We start from the raw sequence: 13865 nt of genomic DNA on the forward strand, positions 1-13865 counted from the left end.
CTGAAACTGACTATTAATGGACTACTCATCCCAATGGATGGGAACGCAATGAAGAGTTCTTCTACTGGGAGGGAGGGGGCAGAAGACTGCAAATGACCCTTATTACCACGAGAGCTGGGGGTGCGCCTTCACCATGAGAGCCTCAGCCCGGAAGCTTCACTGGGGCATTTCTAGGTTCTTCCATGCCCAGCGATAATGGTAAATAGGCAATTGCAACACTACTGACCGGCAGACACAAAGGACTCAGGGCTCGGATACCTTAGAGCTGAGGGTGTGGGTCACCAAGCCTGACTGACAGGCTGTCCAGGGTGCACGGCGGGAGTGGCTGGTGGAGGAGATGGTGGCGTCCACCATAGCCCCGGGATCACCCGCAGCCACGGGGCCGGGACTTGTCTGGCTAACCCTCCTGGAGGAGTCTGCAGAGATGGTGGGCAGCTGGTGGCCCCATGGTGGGCTGGCCTTTCTGAGGCAGTAGTGGGGGAGCCACATGGGGGTGGACTGTGGGGGCACCTGAGGGGCGGCCTTCCCATAGCCCTGGCCAGGTAGGGGAAAACAGTGGGGCAGAATTAGAATGTGACTGCACTGCTGCCTTGGCCACTTGCAGACGTCTCTCTCTGATTCTGCCCCTGGCTTCACTGACATCTGACATGGGATGGTCTTGGGGCTTCCTGGCATGCCAGCCCAGTCTTGAGAGGGAACTGGCAGCCACAGGCACAGTGACCCATGGGGCATGGGAGCCTATGAATGCACGGCCCCCTCTTCCAAGCTGCAAGTGGACAATTTTTTTTTTTTTTTGAGACAGCATCTCACTCTGTCGCTCAGGCTGGAGTGCAGTGGCGAGATCTCAACTCACCACAACCTCCGCCTCCCAGGTTAAAGCGATTCTCCTGCCTCAGCCTCCCAAATAGCTGGGACTACAGGCACCCACCACCACGCCCAGCTAATTTTTATATTTTTAGTAGAGACTGGGTTTTGCCATGTTGGCCAGGCTGATCTCGAACTCCTGATGTCAGGTGATCCACCCACCTCGGCCTCCCAAAATGCTGGGATTACAGGCGTGAGCCACCACGCCCGGCCTGCAAGTGGACAAATCTAAGCCATGTTCTGCTTGGTTCCTCTGACGATCCCAGCCATCCAGCCCCAGGTGCCCGCAGGGGAGAAGTCCATGGACAATGCCCCCGTATGGGCCGCCTCCCTCCTGGCTCCCTCTCCCCAGCCCCACTCCTGTTGCCCTGGGCCCTTTAGAAATTAACTTCCTCTTCTGGAACTGGGTCTCCAGCTCTGCTTTCCAGAGAGGGGTGTGGGTGGGGGAACCAGCTTGAGGCAGGGAAGGAGCAGGGAGCAGGAACCCAGGCTGGCGGGCAGGTACCCAGGAGCCTCGAATGCCAGGCGCAGACACTGGGCTCCTTGGGCTCTCAGCAAATGAAAGTGGCTAAGTCTTTGTGCCTGAGGTGTCTGAATAACAGCAATTGCAGACTTGACCCAGGAGAGAGAGGGAGAGACCGACAGAGACCACAGGCACCCACACATACACAACCGGAGAGAGAGAGGGAGGGAAGGAGAGAGACCCAGAGAGGAAGAAACAGGGAGACGCCGGGAAATGACAGGGGAAGAGACTGGGGTGGAAGGGAGGGAAAACAGAGTTGCTGGATGTGGAAGATCAGCCCTGCCACCCCTCCAGCCTGGGATTCTGTCTCATAGGACCTTCTGTTCACAGTTCTCCCAGGAACATTTGGGACCGGACCCTTCTGGATACCAGGGGCGGGATGGTGGCTTCATTCTGAGGATGGATGCCTGAGGGCATTGGGACTCCGTGTTCTCAGGGAGTCCTTGAAGAGAAAGGCTGAAGGGAAGGAAAAAATCAAGAGATGTTTCGCTCACATTAGCCTCCTGCCCTGAGGATTCTGAGCTCATCCCAGCTGCTGTGAGGGAGCCGTGGGACGGCATGCAGGGGTTCTTGCTGATGCTGAGTTATCTGACCTACTCTCCAAATAGCCAACTATCTGCTTTCTTGCACAGAAGGAAAGGGAAGTGGGAGGAGAGAAGACGCAGACACCAGTGGGCTCTGAACTTTCGTCAGGGAGAGGTCCCCATGTAGGTTTCTGAGCAGAAACGCCCAGGACCCGCAGGACCAGCGTCGCCATTGTCCCACTGCCACTCCCTCTCCGGCCTCACTCTTCTCGTCTTTGCAGTGGGCATGTTCACACGCAACCCGCAGGCTGGCGGTGACGGTTTCGTGGGGCGATGTGCATGAGCAGGTGCTCATGAAGCCGGCCCCGCCCACACATGCAGATGGCGCGAAGAGGGGCTCCCCCAGCTCTCTGACTCTGACAGCTCAGTTTCCTGGGAGTCCTGCACCTCCCTGCTCCCCTGATGTGTTAACTGTCCTCCAGTGCTGGGAGGCCACGCAGGCAGGCAGCTGAGAACTCCCAGCTCACCCCCAAGCTAAGTATGCTTCAAGGTCTGACCCTAATGAGGGTCCCAAGCAGTGTACCCACGGGGCACTCCTGACCTCGCCACAGAGGAATCAAAGCTGAACAGACACGAGAACCCCAGTGCACACAAACCAGATGGCACAAGGACCAGACGTCTGAGCCGTTTAGCCAGCTCCGCCGCCCGCTGGGAAAGACACTGAATTCACAGAGACCTGTTTTTAGGCCGGGCGCGGTGGTTCACACCTGTAATCCCGGCACTTTGGGAGGCTGAGGTGGGGGGATCACGAGGTCAGGAGATCAAGACCATCCTGGCTAACACGGTGAAACGCAGTCTCTATTAAAAATACAAAAAAATTAGCCAGTCGTGGTGGCGGGCGCCTGTAGTCCCAGCTACTCGGGAGGCTGAGGCAGGAGGATGGCGTGAACCTGGGAGGCAGAGCTTGCAGTGAGCCGAGATCGCACCACTGCACTCCAGCCTGGGTGACAGCAAGACTCTGTCTCAAAAAAAAAAAAAGGCCGGCGCGGTGGCTCAGGCTGGTGGATCACAAGGTCAGGAGATCGAGACCATCCTGGCTAATGTGCTGAAACCCTGTCTCTACTAAAAACACAAAAAAATTAGCCAGGCGTGGTGGCGGGCGCCTGTAGTCCCAGCTACCTGGGAGGCTGCAGCAAGAGAATAGCGTGAACCTGGGAGGTGGAGCTTGCAGTGAGCTGAGAGCATGCCACTGCACTCCAGCCTGGGCAACTGAGCAAGACTCCATCTCAAAAAAAAAAAAAAAAAAAAGACCTGTTTTTAAGAAGTGATGAAATTACCTTTTATTTTTGCAGGGGTGGGTGAGTAAATGAATGGATGCACAGGATAAAACTCAGAATGGTGAGAACCCAAACAAGGTAACTGTTACTGTATATAAAAGTTTAAAAAATAATAGTACTGAAACAACACCACCACTAGATAAGCACCCTCCTATGCTGGGCACACAGCATTCCCTTATGCTACCTAGAAGCCCTCACTGAGCCTGCACCACCATCGCCCTTGCACAGATGAGGAAACCGAGGCTGACTCAGCAGAGGGGAGTTCCCAGGGTCATGGAACCGGAGGTGGCAGTGCCAGGACTGAAGACCAGGCCCGCAGTGCACTGTGAAGTCACACAGTAGGTTGAAGTTGTTCTGCCAGGGTGAGTCTGGATTCTGGAATGTTCGTCCACTACACCAGGGTCAGTGCCTGCCCACTTGTGCCCTTCCTCCTGGGAAATCACTCCCCATAGCTTATTAACCCCCAGGGGGAACTGAAGGTACCTGCTGCTGCCCATGGCCAAGGTGGCCACACCTGCCCCTCGGGGCTGGAGGCCAGGAGCAGAGGCGCCAGCCAGCCTGGCAGAAGGGACTCTGGGGGCAGGGCCAGAGGCGATGAAGAGTGGCCATCACAGCCCAAGGCTTAGCCATGCCCTGCCTCCCCTCTCTCCCGCCTTTCTCAGGGTCTCTGGGGCCCCCTCCTGGCTGTGGCCTCCCCCGGGCTGGGTTTCCTGGTGGCCCTCTGGAGTGCAAGAGACCTGGACTGGGCCGACTGGACCGTCCCACACCCTGACCAACTGTGAGACCCAGGTGTTTCCTGAGCCCTCGCTGCTCCTCCTCCATAAAAGGGAGCTGGCACTGGCCTTGCAGGGCTAGCGAGGGGCAGAATGGCATAGGAGAAGGGACTTCAGGGAGATGTGCAATAAGCATCTTCAGGCCAGGAGCTGGAGGTTTTAGATCGATCGATGGATTGATTTGGTAAAGTCTGGAACTTGGGTGAAAAGGCAGACTAGGCTGCATTCACTCAATGGCTTCTTGCTGCCAATTAAAACTGTAAGTGTGCAGGGTGACTGTCGTTCCTACAGTTACGTGTGTGGCATCTCCAGTAAAGATGAACCTGACTAGGAATCACTTATTTTTCTGGCTAGGCTTATGCCTCGCATGTGTCACAACGTTAACAGAGTTATTTGTATATTTGGCCCACCAGTTAAAGAACCTCCTACAGATGTTACTCCCACTTTCTTGACAACAGGGGTGCTCAGTACTTTACGCCAAGCTGATTTTGAGGCCCATAACATTCTCAGGGAGTCTGGGTATGCTGGGAAAATCAGCCAGATGCCGGTGATTTTGACACCATTACATTTTGATAGGGACCCACTTCAAAAGCAGCCTTCATGCCAGAGATCTGTGGTTATTCGAACCTTTATTACTAGTGACTCCCTGACTGGTATACCTGCAACACCTGGCAATGAGATCCCTGTAGAGGTGGTATTAAAGATGGTCACTGAGATTAAGAAGATTCCTGGTATTTCTCGAATTATGTATGACTTAACATCAAAGCCCCCAGGAACTACTGAGTGGGAGTAATAAACTTCTTGTTCTATTAAAAAAAAAAAAAAAAACAGAAAGAAAAGAAAAGGCAGACTAGGAAAACTGAGGACTCCAGGAGTCAGAGGTGGGCAGGAGAGGAGACAGCGGCACAGGGCCACCACAAGTTTGTGTCATCCGGTCCACCCTGACCCACTTCACAGCTGGGGACACCCAGGCTCAGAGAGGTTGAGTGCTCTGCCCAAGGTCACACAGCCAGCTTTTGGTAGAGCCAGGAACACCAAGGTGAAGTACATTCTAATCCCAGTGTCTTTAGTGAATTGGACGGACCAAGGGGGACTGCCAGAGCATTTTATCAGATCACTGTCATCCTTGTCTTTTCAGAAAGTCAGGCTCTGTTTATTATTTGCTCTCTCAAGGTACAAACAGACCTGGGACCTTCCTGTGTTTTCTTATCCAGAAGAGACACTGCCTTTCCGGGGGCCATAGGGGAAGGGAGTGGACGCTAATGCACCGACAGCTACACGACAAAGGCCTGACGCCAGAGCAACCCTCAAGTGACTGAGTGTCCTTGGCACTTCACCTGCGTGATCTCCTCCCAACAGAGCCGGAGGCTGCTACCTGCATTTCACAGGTGAGAAAACCAAGGCACACGAGGCCATGCCCTCCCCAGTAGCCAGCAAATGGCAGAGTAGAAGCACAGACCGTAAGTCTGCTTGGCACACAGCACAGTCACAGCTGGAATCATGAACCTCACCTTGCCTTCCTTCGTTTAATCACAAACGGTGCTTCCGTGTGGGCTGGGGAGGAAGAGAGGTTGAATCCTGTATTTTTAGTGGCTTAAAACAGCATTTATTTTTGCAGTTTCTGTGGGTCAGGAATCAGGTGCCTCTGGCTGAAGGCCACTCATGAGGTTGCAGTCAGCGCTGGCAGGGTCTGTGGTCTCATCTGAAAGTTCACTGGGGGAGGATCCACCTCTGAACCTGCTCATGCATGAGCCTCATTTGTGAGATGAACAAACTGAGTCTTAGAGAGGTTAAGGGTCTCACTCCAGAAAATACAGCTGGAAGGATCAGGGCCAGGTGAATTCATCAGCCTGTGCGGAGACGGGCTCCAGGTGGATGCAGCTCCTGGGGCTTCCCAGGGCATGGAACCCACTGTCTTCTGTCTTTGCTGGCAGCTGCCACCGTGGGCACCCACAGCACACTCCTCAGACATCCATCCACAAATCCCAGCCAGGCCAGGCCTTTCTGTAATCCCGTCCTGACTTCATAGATGTCTCCGAGGCTCAGGTGGGGCAGCTGCCCAGGGTCACACACTGGGGGTTTGGTGGAGGTGGGATGCAAACCAGGTCTTCTGGCCGAAAGCCCCTGTTCTTGCTCCATCAAACAGCTTCCTGTGTCCAGTGGCAGAGACACCTGAGCCCCAGTGCAGGGCCTCACCTTGATACAATCAACTCGTGACCTGGTCATCACAAGCATGGTGCCACAGGCATGGCCGAAGACACCCCCAGGGAGGCAAGTATGATGGTGGAGTCCAGGCTGAGGGGCCAGAGTGCCTGGGCCGTCCCCACGTTCATCCCACTCCCCAGCAGGAGATGTTGGGAGCTCCCCACCCCTGCATCATCTCTCAGCTCGTCACTCTAAAGAGTGAAGCCAGAAGCTCCCACCTCACAGGCTACACTGGTGATCAGATGGGGCAGCCCAGTGGAGCGGTAGCTGAGTCAGCACATGCAGGATACATGCACGGGACACTGTCCCTCCACTGCAGAGATCCATGCACGTTCTCTGCCGTTCAGTGCAGTACTACTGTATGCCTAAGGGCTGGGGATCTCACAACTGGAGAGAGCCAGATGAAGCCCAGCCCACCACTTCCTGGGCAAGCCATGCCCCTCTCCCATCCATGGAAGGGGTTGGTTTAGGAACGTGCACTCAGGGTGCTCCCACTGAGGGGAAGCACAGGAGGGTCTCAGCCTAGCGCCTGTCCAAGACCAGAGCTCAATCCTGGGTGCTGCTGTTGTTCTTCTGATTTTCCGCTAGAGGACAGCGGCGGGTCAGGGCCGTCCTCTCCAGGCTGACACTAACTGGGCCTGTAAATGTCAGGGGAGCTGTAGAGGTTGGTGCTCTGTCTACACACGAGGAGGGACTTGCTCAAAGCTACCAGGGAGAGCTGCCCCCGGCTCCCAGGACCCATCACACGCTTGTTCACAATGGGCACTTGTGGAGAGACACACCACAGACAGGTATTGCAAACTTGTCGGGGGAGCCTAAAGGACTGCAAACTTGTGGGAGGAGTCGGGGCCCCCGTGTCAGGGGCTGCTGAAGACTGAGGCCCTAGGAGCCCCCTGTGCAAGGTGTGCTGTCCTTGGGCTGGGCCAGGGACTCTGGGCCCCTGAAGAGGGACACCTCTTTTGTCTATAAACTTTCTCAGAAACACCATCCTCCATACACTTGCACCAACAAATGGCTTTTATTATCACACTAATGACATTTCTTCTGATTGCAAAAATAATCATCTTCTGATTTTAAAAGTAATGCACATGAAAAATACAGAAAGAGGATAATGAACATTTATTCACTCCAACCTGTCACTCTGATGACCACAGCAAATGTTTCCACATTCTTCTGTCCAACTTTTTTCTTCTTAAGAGCATTTTTAGAAGCACGATGTTTTGAGATCTCGCCTGCCTGGGGGAATACATTGAGACTGTCTCCCACGCAGTCACTGTTCTACTGGAACATTGCCAGTCACTCTCAGTGGCTCCTGACTCCCTGCTGGGCTGGGCAGACCCCTGGTGTCAGGGACCAAGCTGGCTTTGGGGAGGGTGGGTCCCGGGGAGGGGTGAGGTCCAGCTCCTGTTGCCAGGTCAGAAGGGCGCAGTTCAGGTCCTGTGTGGCCTCAGTGTTACCCACCCCACTGGCCTCAGCCGTTCATTTGTGAAGCTGGGATTCCCCCACTCAGGGGGTCCAACTGTCCCTGCTCTGCCAGAGCACCCACCTTTCCTTTGCCTCTCTCTGTGTCTTGCTCTGGCCTCAGGGTATACTGCTTATCCCAGAGAGAAACAACGGAACCAGCCACTGGCTGCTGCGGGGCCTCTGCTTCTGCTGCTTGGGGTCTGGGTCCAGCAGTGTCCATCGTTATGTGGGATCTTCCAGCCTATCGTGGGCGGCCTCCACGCAGGGGGCCATGCCTGCCCTTCAAGGCCACCTTTCACCCTTCACTCCCTCACTCGCCCTGCGAACCCCTCCTAGCTGTGGGAGACTCGCCTCACGGGGACCCTGTCAAATCTCCATCCCTTTTAGGGTAGCAGGGTGGCCTGGCCGGCACTTTTAGGATCAAGACTGACCAAAAGAAGGTGAATTGGCTTTATTTATTTCTAGAAAAGTCTTATAGAGTAAGACAATACATAGGTAAGTCGTGTTTCTCTCTCTCTCTCTTTTTTTTTTTGTTTGTTTGTTTTAGACAGAGTATCACTCTGTCGCCCAGGCTGGAGTGCAGTGGTGCAATCTCAGCTCACTGCAACCTCCGCCTCCCGGGTTCAAGCGATTCTCCTGCCTCAGCCTCCCAAGTAGCTGGGACTACAGGTGCATACCACCACACCCAGCTAATTTTTGTATTTTTAGTAGAGACGGGGTTTCACCATGTTGGCCAGGATTGTCTGGATCTCTTGACCTTATGATCTGTCCATCTTGGCCTCCCAAAGTGCTGGGATTACAGGCGTGAGCCACCGCGTCCAGCCATGTGTTCTTAAATGAATTCTGGCTCCATAGTGCCAGTTCCCAAGGCACAAGGAATTATGCATATTTTTGTTTGTTTGTTTGTTTTAGAGACAGGGTCCCACTCTGTTGCCCAGGCTGGAGTGCAGTGGCACCATCATAGCCCACTGCAGCCTCTACCTCCTGGACTTAAGGGAGCCTCCCACCTCAGTCTCCCAACTAGCTGGGACTGCAGGTGTGTGCCACCATGCCCGGCTAATTTTTCGTAGAGACAAGGTCTCACTACATTGCTCAGGCTGGTCTCAAACTCTTGGGCTCAAGCAATCCTCTTCCCTCAGCCTCCCAAAGTGCTGGGATTACAGGCGTGAGCCACCGTGCCTGGCCTCACACACATCTTGTACACATCAGTGAAGCCCCTTCTCATGTGAATTCTGAGTCCACCATCTTAGAATAAAAGGAGGCGGCAGGGAGGCTGCCACAGTGTGGACGCTCCTGTCGTTAGGGAGTTCTTGACAATGAGAAGGGAGCAGAGGTGTCTTGCTCCAGCTCTCACACAATCCCGGCCTCCCTCAGCCTGCCGGAGCTGTGGGGGTGTCGGTGGAGAAGGAAAATGCCTCCCCACAGTCTGGCAGGTGGGGAGGTGCCTGCTCGGTAACTCAGCCCCATGCCCTCGCTGGAAGGTGCACAGAGCATGCCCAGCTAAGCCCTTCCAGATGCAGATGGGGAGACTGAGGCTGGGATTTTAAATGCAGCCTCTTGACACAGCTCAGCCCCGGGAGGGGACCTGACGGGCTGGGGAGAGCAGAGGTCAGAACCTCTAGCACAGAAGAGCTCCAAGTCTCTGCAACTTTAGCCATGGGAGGTGCCTGGGTGCAGACCCAGCTTGGGGCTTCCAGAGTAAGAATGTGTCCAAGCTGCTGGGCTGCGCAGACCCGGTCTCTGCCCTTGGAAATGGGGAAGGCTGCACAGACCTCACTAAGGGGTGGGGGGCGGGGGTGACACCCAAGTCAGAGGCACAAAGAGAAGCACCCAGAGAAGCCCCTGGTCCCCGCCAGGCTCCTGACCTGCAGAGGGTCCATGGTAGAGAGTGGCCTGGGACTAATCTCTTCTCAGCCCCAGGGCCTGGCCTCCCTGGTCTAGTGGCCAGGGCACACACCTGTGGCCACCAGGAGCTTGCGGCCCTCCAGGAATTCCAGGGCTCTGGCCAGGTTCCTGAGGATGGAGCCGCTGGAGGCTCAGTCACAGCTCAGCTCCGGCAGGGTGTCAGTCAGCAGGGACCTCCGTGTGGCTGTGGGGTCAGAGAGCTCACCCCATGAACAGCGGACTCTTAGCGCCTGCTGTGGGCAGGCTGAAAGTGTCGCCCCATGTGGCCAGGCTTCCTGGGTTTTCAAGAACAGCAGGATGTCTGGCTTTCGGGGGAATCTCCACCAGCTTTATTGCTGGAAACACACTGGGAAGTCTTTAAATCTCACCCCAGCGCACTGAGGGCCACTGACAAGGGTGATGCTCGGGCAATGTGAGCTCCCAAGGTGGGGCCTGTCCGAAATCCCTGGTCCTGGAGCAGTGCCCAGTGAATGTGGGGGAAGGAAGCCTCTAGTGGGAGGGACAGGGCAGAGACCCAGTGACTATTGTTACCAGATTGCAACGAGCAGGGCATTATAGAGGTAAATTTGGTGTTTTCCTAATTAAAAGCAAAGAAAAATGTCAAACAATTCACACCTCATTCATTCATTCACATAGATAACAAGAAATGCTTGGGAAGTTCCTGCCCAGCCCCGAGGACCAGCTCAGGCCCCAAGTCCAGCACTTTCCCCGTCCCCACTGAGTCACAGCGTAAGTCACCTGACAGGGCTGGGTCAGGATCACCTGGGTGCCCGATAAAAATACACATCAGGGGTGTGTGTGTGTGTGCATGAATGTACATATGTCTCTGTGTGTGTGAGAGTGTATATATGTGTACATATGTGAGTGCACCTGTGTATATGTGCATGTGTGTATGTATGTGCACACATGTGTATGTGCATATGTGTATATATGTGTATCTGTGTGCATGTATGTGTATGCATGTGTGCATGTGTGTGTATATATGTGAATGCACCCGCATGTATGTGTATGTGTGTAGGTATGTGCACATGTGTGTATGTGTATATGTGTGTGCATGCATGTATGTGTATGTATATGTGCACATGTATCTGTGTGTCCATGTGTCTGTGTGCACATGTGTATGTGTATATATGTGTGTGAGTGCACTTGTGTTTATGTGTATGTGTGTGCTTGTATGTGTATGCATGTGTGCATGTGTCTCTGTGTGTACATATGTCTCTGTGTGTATGTGTATACGTGTGTGTGTGAGTGCACCTGTGTGTATGTGTATATGGGTATATGTATGTGCACACGTGTGTGTATGTGTGCATATGTGTGTGCGTGCATGTATGTGTATGCATGTGCGCACATGTGTGTCTGTGTGTGTGTGTCTCTGTGTGTAGGTCATTGTTTTAAGCCCTGAATGTTGATTAACTCGTTTATTCCTCATAAATACCCGATGAAGTAGGCCAACTACCTATTGTTCTTCCAGCACAAACACCAGGAAAGGGAGGCACAGAGAGGTTAAGAAACTTGCCCTGTGTCACACAGCCAGTCACAAAGGCGGTGCCCAGCTCCTGGGGGTTCAGGGTGCCTGTGTCTGTCAAGGCCCCTGGTGAGCATCTGAAGGTAAGAGTGCTGTTTGGAACAGAGGTTCCCAGAGTCACCTGATGACAAGCATCGCTTAGGAGCTTGTTAAAAATCCAGATTTCTGGGCCCCACTCTGGGAGATCCTGATACAGGGGGTCCCGAGTCAAGAATCTGAATCTTTAAGGACATCCCAGGTGACTCTATCTTGAGCGAGTTTGGGGACCAGTCCCTCTGGGCACCACATGAGAGGTCCTGCCCATCTTTGCTGGCCTTGCACTGGGCCCTATGGCACAAAATAGGTGCTCAGTAAATGTTTACTGGACTCCCAGCTAGCTGCCGTGACGGCCCAGCTGCAGAAACCGGCTTGGGTGAGACTGGTTCTCCTCATCCCAGCAGAGCAGGGCCTGGAATCTGTTCCTAGGGCCCAGCCTCTCTCCTCTCTGAGCAGGGAACAGGGAGGTGGTCTGAAACCCCCAAAGCCCTGGGCAGACTGGACCGGCCCAGGAGCGCCTCAGCCAAGCTCCCTGCGGTGGCTCCTCCCCACCCTGCTTGGGAATTCTGGCCCAGGAGAGCTAACAGTTCTGACAGCTGATAAGGAGGAGGAAGGTCAGGGAGGAGAAAGCCCTTCCCAGGGTGGGGTGGGGCAGGCAGGCCACAGCAGCACAGCCAATGACCCAGGCCGGCCGCCCAGGTCATCTGATTGGAGCCCAGAGGCCAGGCTCACTAAAAATGTGCACCTTCTTGCCTGGACAGGGTGCTGGGCTGTGTGGCTGTCCTGAGGAACTGTGATAGCAACAGCTGTGGCCCTGCAGCAGGTGGTGGGCCCGGGATCCAGCCTCCCCTCTTCCCTTCCCTGGCAGGGTAAGTTCCAGAGCATTTTGCTGGGTCTGCGCTTGGAAAGCCCTCCCTGCCGAGGCTAAAGCCCTCAGCCCCATGCTCAGTGTCACCTGTCGAGACAGGTGAGGCCGGAGAGGGTTTTCATGGGGAGGGTGCACCCAAAACTCGAAACTCACCTGGCCAGAAGCAGCAGGGCGGGTGCTGCCTCGAATGGGGTTTCAGGCGAAGGGCCAGCCTGGTGTTCCCATGTATGAGAAATGGGCCAATAGCCTGATGGGTGGAGCTGGATGCTGTCAGGGTGGCAGGATGAGGTGGGAGTGCTGTCTCCCCAGGATCCCGACGACTGGGCGGGCAGGGTGCCTGGTGGAAAGGTGAGGTGCCAAGAGGCTGTGGCCAGGGGTTCTGATCCCAGCTTGCCACTGAGTGATTCCACCCTCCGTGCCTCAGTTTCCCCATCTGTAAGATGAGGCATTGGTGTTGGTGCCCAGGGCAGTGTCCGCATGTGGCCAGCAGCCATAGTTGATGGAAACAGTGCAATGCTGGTGACCCTGGAGGACGCAGGAGCCCTGGGCGGGCCCAGAGTCAGTCTTCCCCTGCACCCTGTGTCTTTCATGCTGCCCCTGCCCTCCTGCTACACCAGTGCCAGGGGTCTCAGAGGGGTTCCAGTGGCTCTCTGCATCTCCGAAGCCTCAGTCCCCCTCATGGGGCCAGGGTTCCCACCTGCCACTGGGGATGAGACCGCCTTCTCTCAGGGCTGGACTTGGGAGTGGGTTTTGAAGGAGGCAGGGACTGGACGCAGAGGCTGTTGGGGCAGTGGGGAGGCGCAGGGGCCTGACCCAGAGGAGGGCAGAGGAGAGGCTGCCCTGGGGGTGAGGGGGATCCATGGCCCCTGGCAAGGGGTGGGGCCTCTGTGAGCCTCAGTTTCTCAGCATGCCATCCGCCTGGCGACCTTGCCTCCCTCTCCCGCTGGGGCTATAGAATGGTCTGGAGCCCTCTGTGGCAGCAGCAGCCCCAGGCGAGTTCTGTTCACTACGAAGGAGCCCGTCCTCATCCTCCCCCTCGTTTACAGAGGAAGGCCGGCGCTCAAGGTGGCAGGACTGGCTGAGGACCACGGCAGGTCACGCCTGGGGCTAGGATGCCCTTCCAAAGCCCTGCCTCGGTTTCCTGGTGCTGTGGGAACAATGACCAGAAACCGGCCCTGCCCCACGCATCTCTGTGATTAACTCACTCCCTGTACAGTAGAGGGAGGCGTGGCCCAGGGAGGCTCCCGGGCTGGCCTGAGGCCCATGGCAAGCAGCCCCACCCAAGCAGGCGGCTCCAGGCTTGGCTGGGATCCCGCAGTGACGCTTGGGTGTCTTTGGGCCTTAAAAGTTCATCAAACTTGTTCCACCCTACAGGGACTTTTTGTTTGTTTTTCTTTTAATAGACTGAATTCTTTGGAATCCTCTTAGATTTACAAAACAGTCAGGAAGACAGTTCAGAGAGTTCTCGTAAAACCCCACCCAGCGGCCTCTATGATTAGCATCTCACCTTGGTATGGTACATTTGTCATAACTAATGAGCCAATACCACCAATGCCTGATTACCAGCTGCAGCCCACACCTGACTCAGATTTCCTTCGTCTTTACCTAACGCCTTCGCCTGCCCCGGGATCCCACCCAGGACCCCACTTTGTATTTAGTCCTCCTATGCAAGTCCATGGTGGTGGGCATTCACCACCATGCCCAACTAATTTTTGTATTTTTAGTAGATACGGGGTTTCACCATGTTGGCCAGGCTGGTCTCGAACTCCTGACCTCATGATCCGCCCACCTCAGCCTCCCAAAGTGCTGTATTACAGGCATGAGCCACTGCGCCTGGCCGT

The 13865-nt window shown here is 55.1% G+C and overlaps 1 protein-coding gene and 1 pseudogene across 2 annotated transcripts in view, besides 2 other annotated features; both read left to right on the top strand.

The window, feature by feature from the left end:
* Positions 3859-4358: an enhancer, noted in NCBI's record as "H3K4me1 hESC enhancer chr4:8175771-8176270 (GRCh37/hg19 assembly coordinates)". NCBI's record gives its function as "activates a minimal SCP1, AML or CMV promoter by ChIP-STARR-seq in naive H9 embryonic stem cells {active_cell/tissue: H9 hESC(naive)}" and the evidence as "EXISTENCE:reporter gene assay evidence [ECO:0000049][PMID:30033119]".
* On the top strand, positions 4236-4835 carry GMPSP1 (guanine monophosphate synthase pseudogene 1; annotated as a pseudogene).
* Positions 5841-6686: an enhancer, noted in NCBI's record as "H3K4me1 hESC enhancer chr4:8177753-8178598 (GRCh37/hg19 assembly coordinates)". NCBI's record gives its function as "activates a minimal SCP1, AML or CMV promoter by ChIP-STARR-seq in naive H9 embryonic stem cells {active_cell/tissue: H9 hESC(naive)}" and the evidence as "EXISTENCE:reporter gene assay evidence [ECO:0000049][PMID:30033119]".
* Positions 11887-13865, top strand: part of SH3TC1 (SH3 domain and tetratricopeptide repeats 1) — a 59032-nt gene continuing 57053 nt past the window's right edge. For both annotated transcript variants that reach the window (XM_011513488.1, NM_001410712.1), the window contains exon 1: positions 11887-12025. The gene's annotated coding sequence lies outside the window, so the exon portion shown is untranslated. The remainder of the gene's footprint in view (positions 12026-13865) is intronic.

The sequence above is a fragment of the Homo sapiens genome, chromosome 4 (genome assembly GCF_000001405.40).
Source record: "Homo sapiens chromosome 4, GRCh38.p14 Primary Assembly".
NCBI classification, from domain to species: Eukaryota; Metazoa; Chordata; class Mammalia; order Primates; family Hominidae; genus Homo; species Homo sapiens.